This window comes from Homo sapiens, chromosome 2, assembly GCF_000001405.40.
Source record: "Homo sapiens chromosome 2, GRCh38.p14 Primary Assembly".
Lineage (NCBI taxonomy): Eukaryota > Metazoa > Chordata > Mammalia > Primates > Hominidae > Homo > Homo sapiens.
The window spans coordinates 141,245,999-141,259,969 of NC_000002.12; the positions used below are offsets into that span (position 1 = coordinate 141,245,999).

General features: G+C 36.3%; 1 protein-coding gene across 3 annotated transcripts in view; it reads right to left on the reverse strand.

Annotated features, from left to right (window-relative positions):
- The window catches only part of LRP1B (LDL receptor related protein 1B), a 1,899,594-nt gene that overhangs the window by 1,014,576 nt on the left and 871,047 nt on the right, over window positions 1-13,971 (reverse strand). For all 3 annotated transcript variants that reach the window (NM_018557.3, XM_017004341.2, XM_047444771.1), the window contains exons 4-5: window positions 8,524-8,643; window positions 1,228-1,356 (exon numbers count right to left, since the gene is read on the reverse strand). In NM_018557.3, coding sequence (NP_061027.2) covers window positions 1,228-1,356; window positions 8,524-8,643 — 249 coding nt within the window. The remainder of the gene's footprint in view (window positions 1-1,227; window positions 1,357-8,523; window positions 8,644-13,971) is intronic.

The window sequence follows — 13,971 nt, forward strand, 5'->3', positions numbered from 1 at the left end:
ACAAGTTCTGTACCGTCATAATGCTTATATTATTCTGGAGAAATCCTGTGATAAATATATATAAATGAATTAATTTCAAATGGCAATGCTATAAAGAAAATAAAACTGGGAAATTATATAGTGATAGAGTAGGTATGCATAAATAACACTGGAAAATAACTTGGTGATGTAGAGGGTATATACCATGAAATAGAATGGATTGGGAAGGTCACTCTGAATATTGACATTTTAGCTGAGACTCAAGTGATAAGAAGGCTACATTAATGTGAATATCACAGGAAAAATCATTAGAGGCAGATAAAAAGGCAACATGGTTGAAGAAGGACAAGGACACAAGTGTGCTGGCATTGATGATGAAACAAGAGCAGTGGAAGATCAGACACTGGAAAGGGAAATGATACCAGGCCATTAGGCCCTTAGAGATCCTGTGAGGAGTTTAGATTTTATTTTCAAGGTAGGTGAAAGTTATTGGGAGATTTGAAGCAAAAGAACAACACGATTTGGTTTATGTTTTAGTAGTAAATCACTTTATTATATAAATAATTAATTTTGGAGGTGAAGCAGAAGCTCACAGAACCCAGTTAGGAAACTATCATAGTAGTCCAGGAGAGAGGATAGGTAATTCAAATCAATTAATCCATATCTTTTGAACAGATTTTTGCTAATTAGAAACTTCCTGCAATAGGCTGGGCACTGCGGCTCATGCCTATAATCCCAGCACTTTGGGAGGCCTTGGTGGGTGAATCGCCTGAGGCCAGGAGTTTGAGACCAGCCTGGCCAACATGGTGAGACCCTGTCTCTACTAAAAATGCAAAAATTAGCCAGGTATGGTGGTGTGTGCCTGTAGTCCCAGCTACTTGGGAGGCTGAGGCAGGAGAATTGCCTGAACCTGGGAGGCAGAGGTTGAAGTGAGCTGAGATTGTGCCATTGCACTCCAGCTCCAGACTGGGTGACAGAGTGAGACTCCATCTCAAAGAAAAAAAAGAAAGGAAGGAAGGAAGGAAGGAATTTCATTTTTGGAAGGAGTAATGGAAGGAGTTTTATAATGATTAGTGACAACTGAAAGAATTGCTCTGGATTCCTAACTATAGAGAAGTGTATTAAAATGAAAGCAAATCTCTCTCTTCAAAGTCCATATTTCTGCTATACCACATCTCTAATGAAAAAGAATTGTAAAAAGGAAACAAGTAATTCTGGAAAGACAAAAAATAAATGGTCATAACTTACCAATTTTAGCCTTGCAAGATCTGTTGTCTGGCTGCATTAGGTAGCCTTCCACACAACTGCAAGTGTAGGATCCATGTGTGTTTCTGCAGGTCTGGCTGCATGTACCATAAACAGCACATTCATCTTGATCTAAAAAGGAAAATTGGCATCATTTCTAAGCAGCTTTATCTTGGGCACTTTTTTTTCTCCTTGAAGAAAATATTATTTTTGAACTTCGGAAATAGACTATTAAGGAAAAGCCAATTCCAATAAGTCTTTTCAAAACCACACTAACTAAAAATTAAAATTATTGCTGCCTTAATATTTACAGAGATAAAACATCAAACAATATCAAATCATGTATTTTAAAAGAAGATTATTTGCATTTGTGATAGTCAGGCTAGAAGTCTTTGGATATTTTTGCAAAGGTACAAAATGCACTCCAATTAATATTTGTTGAATATTTCCAGTGTTTATGACACTGACTTTTTCACTGTTTTAACAAAGAATTCGACTAGTAACATGGTTTTCAATCAACAGATTAAATAAGAGTTCTGAGCCACACTATGCAAATCACACTCACTACTTTAAAGAGAGGAAACTATTAAGCACACCTATTGAAAAATAAAGATTTTGTCTTAAATAAATTTCATTTTAATATCTGTAGTCCTCTACAGATATTAAATTAAATTAGATTGCTAATTAGAAACTTCCTGTAATAGGCTGGGCACTGCGGCTCATGCCTGTAATCCCAGCACTTTGGGAGGCCTTGGTGGGTGAATCACCTGAGGCCAGGAGTTTGAGACCAGCCTGGCCAACATGGTGAGACCCTGTCTCTACTAAAAATGCAAAAATTAGCCAGGCACAATGGTGTGTGCCTGTACCCCTTCATTCTATTCCTCTACCCCTTCATTCTGTTTTCTCTATATACTTCCTTCCTCTGGTATCCAGTTCAAATCTTTATGAACAACAGATACTCAATGATTCTTAACTGACCAAACAAAAAGGCATCCTGTCAGTAGTTAGTTATTTAGACAAAGGTATATTCAGCCTGTTTTATGTACGAAGCACTGTACTGATCCCTGCAGAAGACAAAATCAATAAAATATGGTCCCTACCCCTGAGTAAGACGAGTCTAGAGAAATATAATTATGATACTATACATTTCCTTATAATAGGGGTATACTCGAGTTATGATAGAAACAGGGAAGTCAAACTGCTTAGGATTAGAAGGGGAATCTTAAGTGAAGACTTCGTATTAAACAGTGTGAAGCGTGATCTGGCTTTCCTCAGACTAAGCAGAAAGGGACATTTCAGTTCATCAAAATGGCATGCGAACGGTATTGGGATGGCATCATGGGGATTTCAAAGAAGAAGCATAAGGAGTCAAATGAAGCAAGGGTGTGTGAAGGAAAGCGGCAGAAGAGATGAAACTGGGAAAGTACTTTGGGAGCCAGATAATGAAGATATTTGTATGCTGAACTAAAAGACTGTACATTACACATTGGCATTGGGAAAGCATTAATTAGATGGGCTACATGGTCAGCTTTGCATTTTAAAACTAAAAACACTCATATGAAATAAAGGCTTTGGTAAATGTGGAGAAAGGATCCTAGAAAATTAGATATGTGCTAATTTTATCCAAGAAATTGTCTTTTGAAGTTATATTTTGAACTAAGTCAGTGGCAGTGGAAATGAAGAGGAAATAGACTCAAATGTGTAAGAAGTAGAATAGACAACATTTGAAAAATGATTGGATGTGACAGAAGTGAAAATTGATTGAATTTTGAAATAGAGGATGTAAGAAGTATAGATTTGAATGGCTCTATCATGGGAGGAGATAACGAATTTGATTTCACTGTGTTAAATTTGAGGTGTCTGTAGGGCAGCCTTGAGTAAATGTGTAATGATAAGCAATTGAAAAATGGAACTGTTAATATAGGGTGAGATCTGTTCTAGAGTATATGGAAGTCAATAGCATATATATAATAGATTTTAAAAATAGGAGAGGGATATTTCTCACAGAGGAAGAGGAGATGAAAAAAATTTAGCTAGTGCAAAATACTCTAGGATACCAAAGTGGAAAGGGCAGTCAAGAAAGAGGAATCAGGGTGGGACGCAGTGGCTCAGGCCTGTATTCCTAGCACTTTGGTAGGCCAAGGCGGGCAGATTACTTGAGGCCAGAAGTTTGCGATCAGCATGGCCAACATGGCGAAGCCCTTTCTCCACTAAAAATACAAAAATTAGCCAGGCATGGTGGTGTACACTTGTTGTCCCAGCTACTCAGGCAGCTGAGGCATGAGAATTGCTTGAACCTAGGAGGTGGAGGTTGCAGTGAGTCGAGATTGCACACTGCACTCCAGCCTGGGTGATAAGGCTCTGTCTCAAAATAAAATAAAAATAATAATAATAAAACAGAAAGAAAGAAAGAAAGAGGAGTCCTACAGTCGCCTGTGAAGGAAAATTCATGACTACTGTAAGAAAAAAATAAGAAATGAGAGCTCTTCTGGGATATCAGAATGTTCAAAAGGGTTATATGCAATGCATGAATCCAATAAGATAAAGATTAAAATTCCCATTTAGATTCAGTAATTAGGACATTATTGTACTGATGTTGATGTAATGTAGGGAAAGAAGGGGACATAGTCACAAATGGAAGACTGATCTTAAATGGAACTTGCTTTTTACTGAGTCCTTAAATGGGATAAAATACACAAACTTAGACCTATTAACAGAGTTTTGTCCTCATGACTTGGGAATGATGACTGAAGATAATTTGGGACTCCTGTAAATAATTCTGGAGAAAGGGGGTGAGAAAAAAAGAAACAGAAAAATGAAGAGGGGAGCAAAAGATAACAGGATGGATTGAAGCTGTGGTATTAAGTGGGTTAAACTGATGTGACATAATTAAAATATATCTTTGGCCTTTGTTCACAGTGCTTGGCACAGAGCTCCTAAAATACTTGGAATTTTTTGAGTAATAGGATTGTCTTTTGGTGTTCATAAAGAGCTCCTCTAGAATACACCTGAGCCTATGCTAATGAGGTGACTCAGGGTGGGGCCCCTAGGTAGTCTCAGACTGGGGGCTGGTCATGAAAATACCAAACAGTGGATTAGAGTGTGGAAACTTTCAGCCCCATCTCCTGACCTCCAGTGAGAAGAAAGGGGACTGGGGGTTGGGCTAAAAAATAACTCTTGAACAAACAGGCTTGGAGAGCTTCCATTTTGGTGAAGACATTGAGCCCCTGGGAGGATAAGGTGCCTAGAGAGGGCATAGAAGCTTCCCTCTCCCACCTTCCCGTTCCTTGCCCTATGCATCACTTCCATTTGGCTGTTGCATCCTTTATAATAAACTAACAAACATAAGGAAAATATTTCCTTGAGTTCTGTGAGTGGTTATAGTGAATGACTACATCTGAGGAGAGGGCTGTAGGAATGCTCACATTTATAACTGGTTGGTTCAGAGGTATAGGTGAGTCCTGGAACTTGCATCTGGTACCTGAGTCTTGCAGTACTAGGTCCTTAACCCATGCAGTCTACGCTACCTCTGGATAATGTCAGAATTGGGTTGAATTGAACTGTTGGACACCCAGTTAGTATTAGAGAATTAGATAATTTATGTGGAAAAATACCACCCAATTGTTATCAGAGTGATATGACAATAAAGAAACCTCAACTGGCATGTTAAAAAATCCCCAGCGGAGGGGTAACATAAGGGTTTCAATATAGGGATGTCTAAAATTACATTTGAAATTATTTGTGTGTTGTGATATAAAACATTTTCCTACTAAGTCTTCAGTAAAACTTACTACATATACAAATTGTCTTGTTTGCATGGATTTTATAATTGTGGAAACTCTAGGAAAAGAGCTGAGTTTTACTTCTGGGTTGAGGGGTATGGGGTGGAGAAAATCCATATATAATCTCAAAATGATACATAAATAGGAAGATGGAGTTTGGAGTCAAGATCATAAAGAATATAGAAGCTCTGAAAAACTGCAGATATGCTGAGAAGCCTCTAACAGTCCTTTGAAAATAAAAGTGAGTGTTTTAACCAGTCTTAACTAGACTTTAAGGGAAAAGAGATATTTAAAGTTCTTTATGAAAATTATAGGATGAGAAACCAGATAGCAGTAAATGGAGGAATGAAGTGAAAATAAGATAATTGGGAAAGTAAATGTAGTTGATTGTTAAAGTTTGTGGATAATAAAGGAGGAGGGGATGGGAATGATGGCTATAGGAAGAGATAGGATATAAAGTGGATATTTGTTGTGAGTATTTCTAGTTTTGTTTTTGTTTTCTTTCAGCATAAAACAAATGTGAGAATATTTATTGACTACGGTGATAGCCAGTGGAAATGTAGTGCTTAAAGGTATATAAGAAAGAGGTAGAAATTGATAGACCAATGGACCAAGTTGAGACAAAAGTTTGGGTGAGTGGGACTTTAAATATGTATGAAAAAAGACTAGAAGAAGTAAAGTTCTTCTGAAATGACAGCAAAACAAGCATGGGTGGATATACAAGTAAATAGTGAGAAGAGAAAGAGTAATTTGAGGAAGTAACACAAGATGGCACCCAGAAAATAAAGGCAGTGACTACAACAAAAGAGAATAGATTAAGAAAACATATTTTGAGAGAATAAAGAAGAAATTGAAAGGAATGGTCAAGGGCACTGTAGCAGAAGCTGTCTGCTCATATCCCTCAGAGTGTTCATGTGATTCTACAATCATAGGGATCTTTATCTGTGCCTGAGCATACTTCCAAACCCTTCTTCCTCTCCCACCAGTTTCCAGGAGGGTAAAGTCATCTCCAACACAAAAACAAAAACAAATTTGCTCTTCAGAAATGGGTGTATAAATGCCTGAGTTCCCTTGTCTCTCATGCTAGAGAGCTGTGCCACACACTTAAGCTTCAGTCACCCTTTGTTGTAGCTGGCTTAATTGCTCCAACTATGGGGTTGCCTTTCTCCTGTATCCTCTCACCCCCACCACCCCCCACCCCCTAAAAAAAAAAAGGAAAGAAAAGAAAAAGAGAAAGCTACAATGGCAAATAAAGGAAAACATTCAGTGAATCCTTGTTTCAGAGTTGACTTCTGCGAATATCCAAACTAAGAAAAGAGCTTACCATGAGAAAGCAAAAATATTGCTGAGTAGCATAAGACAATTTAAATTGTGAAACTCTGCATTTGTAAGGCATTCATAAACTCAGGTTTCTTCAGAGTCACATAACAGCCAGCAATCATGGATGGCTCATTTGAAGTAAATGCTTTTGGTGATAGAAAAAATACAGCGTTTGGAGCTAAGTCTACAGTAATACTGAATGAAATTAAGGCTTGCATTTGGTAAAGTCTGTCCCTGATGGCAGTAATAATTCTTATCTATTTTCACAGATTTTTCAACTTTAATATTATTGGTTTCTATTTCAGTTTTTTGGATATGATTATGCTGTTCAGGAGAGCAATATGATCGATTATCTCTTTTCTTCTTTCTACTTAGCCAGAATGCACTGAGGTGGAACTCCACAACATTGACTACAAAGGAATAGGCATACCATCACTTGCAATGCTGCCTTCTTTTCTCCTTTAAAGACAGAGGGCTACCTGGAAATACAGTTTTGAGAAAGCCTAATGATGCTCAGACTTGGCTCTCAAGGAGTATAGAGAAAGTACAAAGATCTCCTCTCCCACTGTGACTTCTAAAATGATTGCTGTGCAATTCTTCACTAATGTTCCACAGAAGAAATTAATTACTGTTGTGTTTGTTTTTACGTGCTTAATTAAACACATAAAAGCAATTAATTAACACTCAGGAATCTACGTATTTAACTCAGCTGCACCCTTGCAAAAGGAACTGCAGAGCTTGATTACTACAGGAGTCAGGTGTAGTAAATGAGTGAGAAGAATGCAGAATAGGTATCTAAGCCAAACACGTACGAATGGCAAGGGCTGTTTGGAAGTGGAAAGAGCACGAATGTTCAATGGCATCATCCATGTCTGGCACCATTTTTATCTGGCTGATTTCTGTGATTATGAGGCATCTACCGTTGCCCTTATTTTCCAGAACATCTGAACTTTTGTGTGCAATTTTCTGATTTTCAAATGTTGTCTTAAAATGACATAATGACATGAGTCAAATAAATATGAGAGTTTGGCCTCCCTGTGGTCAGATTATGCAGTCTCTGGGTCTGATAAACACTTGATAATAAATGTTTTTTTATAAAATTGGTATTATACACAAAGCAAACAACAAACTAAAATTCAATTCCCAAATGTAACTGAAAAGTCAATGAGCCTCTTCAGGATAAGACTAAGTGGGCTCTGCAGACATGAGTTTCAGTCCCAATTCTATTACTAAGAAGATGTGTGGACTTAAGTCAATGAACTATCAGGATCTCATTTTTGTCATTAAGATTTTAAACAATTATCTCATGAATTTTTTCAAATTTAAGATTCTAAGGTAAAAGTGATAATATTGGAGCAAAGATTTGAAGTAATCAGCAAAGCACTAATTTCTTTGGAAACTATTCTATTTATTAGTGGCTCTGGCAATGCAGCAATCCCCTGAATACACACACACACACTCACACACGCGGAAGGAAAGAGAGAGGCAGAGAGAGAGAGACGTGCTATATTATAGATTAGAAATATTATATGTAGATATAGATAGATTCTAAGTATCATACAAAGCAATGCATTTAACTTTGTGGATATGTTATATATACATATTAATATATGTATAATTGGAATCAAGTGAATGGAAAGGTAACCTAAAATTCTTCAGAATTCATGAAGGGAGTCATTTTGGAGGATAAATATTTGCTATAAAGCATTCACAAAAGCAAGAATCCAGACATTTAAAATAAATCAATATTTATGTTCATTATTACATTATTATTGCTATGGTTAAAATGCCAGCTGCCAGAATAACCAATGCAAAAATTATAAAGAACATTACATGATTAGCAATTATTAACCTAACGTAGTTAATAACACATGTCTACTAGACTGCAGCTATATAACAGCCATACAACATATAGGAAGTTAAAATAATTAGATCAATGTGTTAGTGGTTAACCCAAACATTTCCGATTGTTGACATTTCCCAAGTTTGAAATTACTGCAAAAAAATTGAAATTTGAGAGTCATAAACTTATAATAATGTTTATGTTTTTGTTGGGGGGGCAACTTTTAAATCTCAAGAAAGAAAAGTTAACATAAACACTGTAGAGCACATGGTAGGTGCTCAAAGATGTCTGCTTACATTTCTGTTAACTAAGCCTCTATAAACAAAATTTGATGGCGTTATATGTTTTACTTACCTTTACAGCTTCTCCCATCTTCTGTTATTTCGAATCCATCCTCACAGTAACATCTTGTACTATTTCTGACCATTGTACATTTATACTGACAATTCAGCTGTTGGCAATTGGATAACAGTTCTGTAGAGAAAAAACAAATATATTCTCTATATTTAACTGTATATGTAAATAGTTTGTATTTCTCAGTGTACAATCCTTACACTATAGTCTTGATTGTTCTCCCAGAAAGTTTATATGATTGGTCTAGAAAAAAATATTTACCTAAAATATGTTAGTTTACATTTGCTTGAATTATTGTAAATAAAATTCGAGATCAATCTGTTTGGTCTCCCGCTTTTTAGCTTATTACTGTGTTCATAGTCACAAAACCTTTCAAATTTGGTAAATTAAATTATTTCAAGAGGAAAGATGTCAACTCAGCGGTTGATTTTGCCATCTATGTCTTTCCTATCTGACACATCAATTGATTTTCTAGCTTTTGAGAGCTTGTTTTGATTTACTAATCCATGTGTAACCTTCATAGCAATCAATGTGAATATATCTCATCTCAATATTTTATTTTTCTTTGGTAGAAAAATATTAGAGAAATACTGAATGTAATATATTTCATTATATCTGAACTATTTGAGAAAAGACATGATTAAAGCAAAAGTTAGCAAACCTTCAGAGCAAATTAGGATTGAATATGATAAAAGCATGAAATAGAGATGAAGTGACAGGAGCACATTTATTGCACAAACAATCGCTAACAGAAATAAGATTCGCTAAACTAGATAAATATTGGATAGAAGCATGACTGTCTGAAAATAGGGGTATAAATAGATTGCTATGATACTGTTGTTTTTACTCTTTTCCCCAGAAAGGCAAATAAGGGTTTTGAAGATCAAAGTTAAATGATTCAAAATACATTGATATTTGCCAAGAGTTTAGCTGGTGCTACAGAAATAAAATCAAATTATAATTAAAAAATAAAAGCCCAATATGTAAAAGAACACCTGAAACATTCCAAACTGAACATTGGGTATTGTATTATAAATGTAGTTATCTATAGTATATCCTTAGTTCAATTACTGTTCAGCATTCTCATACAATTATTTCACACATCTTCACTTCTTAAAACTGCAAACCTCTTTCCTAATATTCTGTCATATATGATGATCCTGCTTCTTACTTCTTTGAGAAAACTGAAGCAATCAGAAGAGATTTTCCAGATTTATACTCCATTTCTATCCACATCTGCGTATACTGCTTCTCCTTGGATTTCACAGTTAGTTGAATTCGTAATCAAAGCTCCAACCCAACATCATATGTAAAAATCCCATCCCCTCTCACCTAGTCAAGGATATCACTTCAGCAGTGCTACACTTTATGTTCATAGAATCAGTTCAAAATTGGCTTGAGTCTATAAGCTATTGTAATGTGATATTTATTGAGCACATAGTCAATGCTAATCACGCTGCTACAGTTCCACAGATGCAAAATTCATTAAAAAAATTACAATATGAGTGTGGAAGTGAGTGGTATTAAGTGGACAGAACAACAATATAAAACAATGTTTATAAATCATAGTAGCAAAACACATATGCTAAATAAAAGTACAAGTGGTAGGATGTAGAAAGATTCATCTAGAAGCTGAATATGCAGGAAGATATCTGAGAAACAGTTGTAGAAGAAGTTGAATTTGAGTTGGGACTTAAAAGTATGAGAGTTTGGATAGACAAAATTAATGAGAATGTAGCCTAGGTAAAGAGGACAATATGAGAAAGTAAATAGAAAGACCTGAAAGCATGCAAGAAACACAGGCAACAATAACGAACGCTGCATTGCTAACCTATAATGCTTGATGTAGTTAAAAAAAAAAATGAGAGCGAGACTGGAATTGCTGTTTGGAGCCAGGTCAAGGTGAATTAATTCACGGATTAAGTAGAATTTTCTGTTTAGGCAACAGGAGACATAGCTGGTTATTGAGGACAGTAGTGATACATTCTGACTTGTATTGTTCAAAAGTACCTAACAGTAGAGAGAAAGATAGTAAAGGAAGAAAAGCTATCTAAGTGACTAGGAATGGCAAAATGCTAAATGAAGACTATGAATCTTTGCCTAGAAAGATGGCCAAACACTTGGTGAAAGCATAATGACACTAAATGAGTAGTACTAATAAAATGAATTAAGTACAACAGAAGTACTACGAGTTTGGGAAGAAAATATTGTTTGTCTTTGATTATGTTTAGCTTAAAATATTGACAACATAATAGCCAGGGAGAAAGTGAGAATTTGGGTCTATCTTTGAAGAGAAGTCTGTAGTGGAGATATCAATTTGGAAGTCACAAGCATAAAGTCGGTCATTGAAACCTAAAAAGTAAAGAAGCATTCCCTTAAGAAGAATACTTGGGTTACAAATAAAAACACCCGTAGAACCTCTTCATGTGAAAATCAAAGAGAAGAGGTATCAGCGATAAGAACTACCACCAAGAAAAACTGCAAAATAATAAAGTACATAAGTGAAGAACCTAGAAAGTCTCACAAAACCTAAGGAAGAAGAGTAGTCTATAGAGGCAAGCAGGGAAATCAATGTTAAATTCATTGAGAAATAAACATGGATGAAGCCTGTAAAGTGCACTAGGCTTCCTAATAGGATCGATTGAGGGTGTTAAAAAGCATTAGAGTGGAGCAGTGAAGACAAAGGTGAATGTAATTAGGGGTTGGAACAGAAAGAGGAAGCAGGAAAGGTTTCTCACAGAAAATAGATTCAGTTATACTATGAAAAGAATGAGGGTAGAGATTTGATCTAATTCATGTAGTCTCTACCTTAATGCAGGTGTATTCACTCAGTGAGTCAAATTTATTATTTTTCCATGTAATCCCTGGAGCCCAGCTGCACCTTTTCACTGTGTCAATCCAAAGTAGAAAATCCAAATACTATGGATCCCATCTTTCTACTCTCTCTACTTGACGTTTCTGGAAGATGGAGAGTGAACACTGAAAAGAGGGGGTTAGTGATATGGAAAGTTGAGGAGAAATACAAAATGCGGGAAAAATTAATCTGAAAGACCAGACCTCAAACATGGTTCTGAGTGTTAGGAGGAGATCTGTTAGTTGAAAATAGCAAAATATAGAAGGTCAAGTTAGCTTTTAGTTTATTAGACTTATCCTGCGTGAGGATTTGTATATGTGCAGAGTGATGACACGAGATGATTAAACAGTTTAGGATATTAGGTGAAATGGTAAATATTGATTCTGCTAACAGATCGTGAAGAACCATGAAGAACTAACAATATGAATACTAAAATTTAAAATTTGGCAGACTGTGAAAGCAATACTAATTATTAGAGTTATCTATTTGAACTGCTTAGCATTTATGCTTAGTTGCATGCAATGCTATAATGACTATAAATATAGTTAAAAGCATATCAGATTAATTTTGTTAGAAAACTTATTTGAGTACAACAAAAAATTTTGTACTTGAATCATTAGTCTTCACCCAGTGACTTTCGTCAAGCATAGCCATTGGCTTATGTAACATTATCATTGGTTTGGAACTTAGACTGAAGTAGGAAGACCACTTGTATCTCAGGGAAGCAAATATGCAAGTGAGAACACAGACATGTAAACACGGTGTCTGATCCATATTCCTCACCATTATAAAATAAAACTATCCTTTTGATTAGAAGAGAGAAGCTGTCGCTGGAAGTGGTGGCTCACACTTATAATCCTAGCACTTTGGGAGGCCAAGGCAGGTGGATCACAAGGTCAAGAGATGGAGACCATTCTGCCCAACATGGTGAATCCCCATCTCTACTAAAAACACAAAAAAGTTAGCTGGGCGTGGTGGTGTGTGCCTGTAGTCCCAGCTACTCGGGAGGTTGAGGCAGGAGAATCGCTTGAACCCAGGAGGCAGAGGATAGTGCCACTGCACTCCAACCTGGCAACAGTTGAGACTCCGCCTCAAAAATAAATAAATAAATAAAAAGAGAGAAGATATCATTTCACAAATCAAATCTAATCCAATTCGTGAAGATTCCCCTGACACAGATCCACTTTGTTCTGTTTTTAAGGTATCTTTTTATGACCTTGATATGATTTGGCTCTGTGTTCCCACCCAAATCTCATGTTGAATTGTAATCCCCAATGTTGGGGTAGAAACCTGGAGGGAGGTGATTGGACTTGGGGGCAGGTTTTTCTCTTGCTGTTCTCATGATAATAAGTGAGTTCTCATGAGATCTGATTGTTTGAAAGTGTGTAGAACTTGCCCCTTCACTCTCTCTTCCTCCTGCTCTGGCCATGTAAGACGTGCCTCCTTTCTTTTTGGCTTCCACCACGATTGTAAGTTTCCTGAGGCCCCCTCAGCCATTCTTCCTGTACAGCCTGCAGAACTGTGAGCCAATTCAACCTTTTTCTTTATAAATTACCCAGTCTCAGGTAGTTCTTTATTGCAATGTGAGAATGGACTAATACAGCCCTTAGCACAGTTGTAAAGGAGGAAAAGTTGCAAAAGAGAGTATTATTAAACTATGAATACACCTTCTCTATCAAATTCAAGGTAACAGTTTACAAGTAATGGGTAGCTTTGAGACATCAAGACTTCTAGGCCATTTGATTTAGAAATAGTCAAAAAATAGATATCTTTGTATTATTAATAAATAGTAAGAGGGAGTCTAAAAGGATAAAAATTAATTCAGAGTAAAACTGAAATTTCTTTCACCACTTATCTTGTTTTCTGAATGGTGGTAGAGTATTGTGTTGAGGCCTTTGTCTCTGCAACAAGAGTGCTTTACCTCCAACTGTTTCAGTAATTTCAGGCTATATGAGTGTGGCAGAGAATATTTAAGTGTGCATCAATCTTGTTTCCTCTTTCTAGGGAAATAAAAAGATGACATTCCCCAGTTGTCTTCCAGTTAGATTGGAACCGTATTTTTGTCTTCTAGCCAATATAACGTAGAGAGTAATTGGTGTGTGCCACTCCTTGACCTGATGCTTACAGCATCCTGACAATCTTCTCCTCTCTGTACACTTGTCAGCCATCTGGGTGCAGGGAATCCAGCAGACTTCTCACCCTTTGGGATGGCACAAGCCCACAATGGAAAGAGCCTGAAACAGCACCTGGGAAGTCAACCACTGATAACCCAACTGGACTGTGATATCAGCGAAAAATTGGATTATTGTTGTATTGAGTCCTTGAGATATCAAGGTTATTTGTTACATATGAGTGATGATGGGTACATGACTAAAGCTCTCATTACATGCTTTGCCTCATCTCTAAAATGGGGATAATAATAGAAACTACCTCATAAGCTTGTTGGGAGTCTTAAATGAGGTAAGTGATACAAAGTTCTTAAAATATTGCTGACACATAGTAACTATTTTTATTATCATAATCATTTTTTATCAGTTTATCATTTAAGCTGAATCATCCATTTAGTATAACAGAATTTCTATTGTTATCCTGCC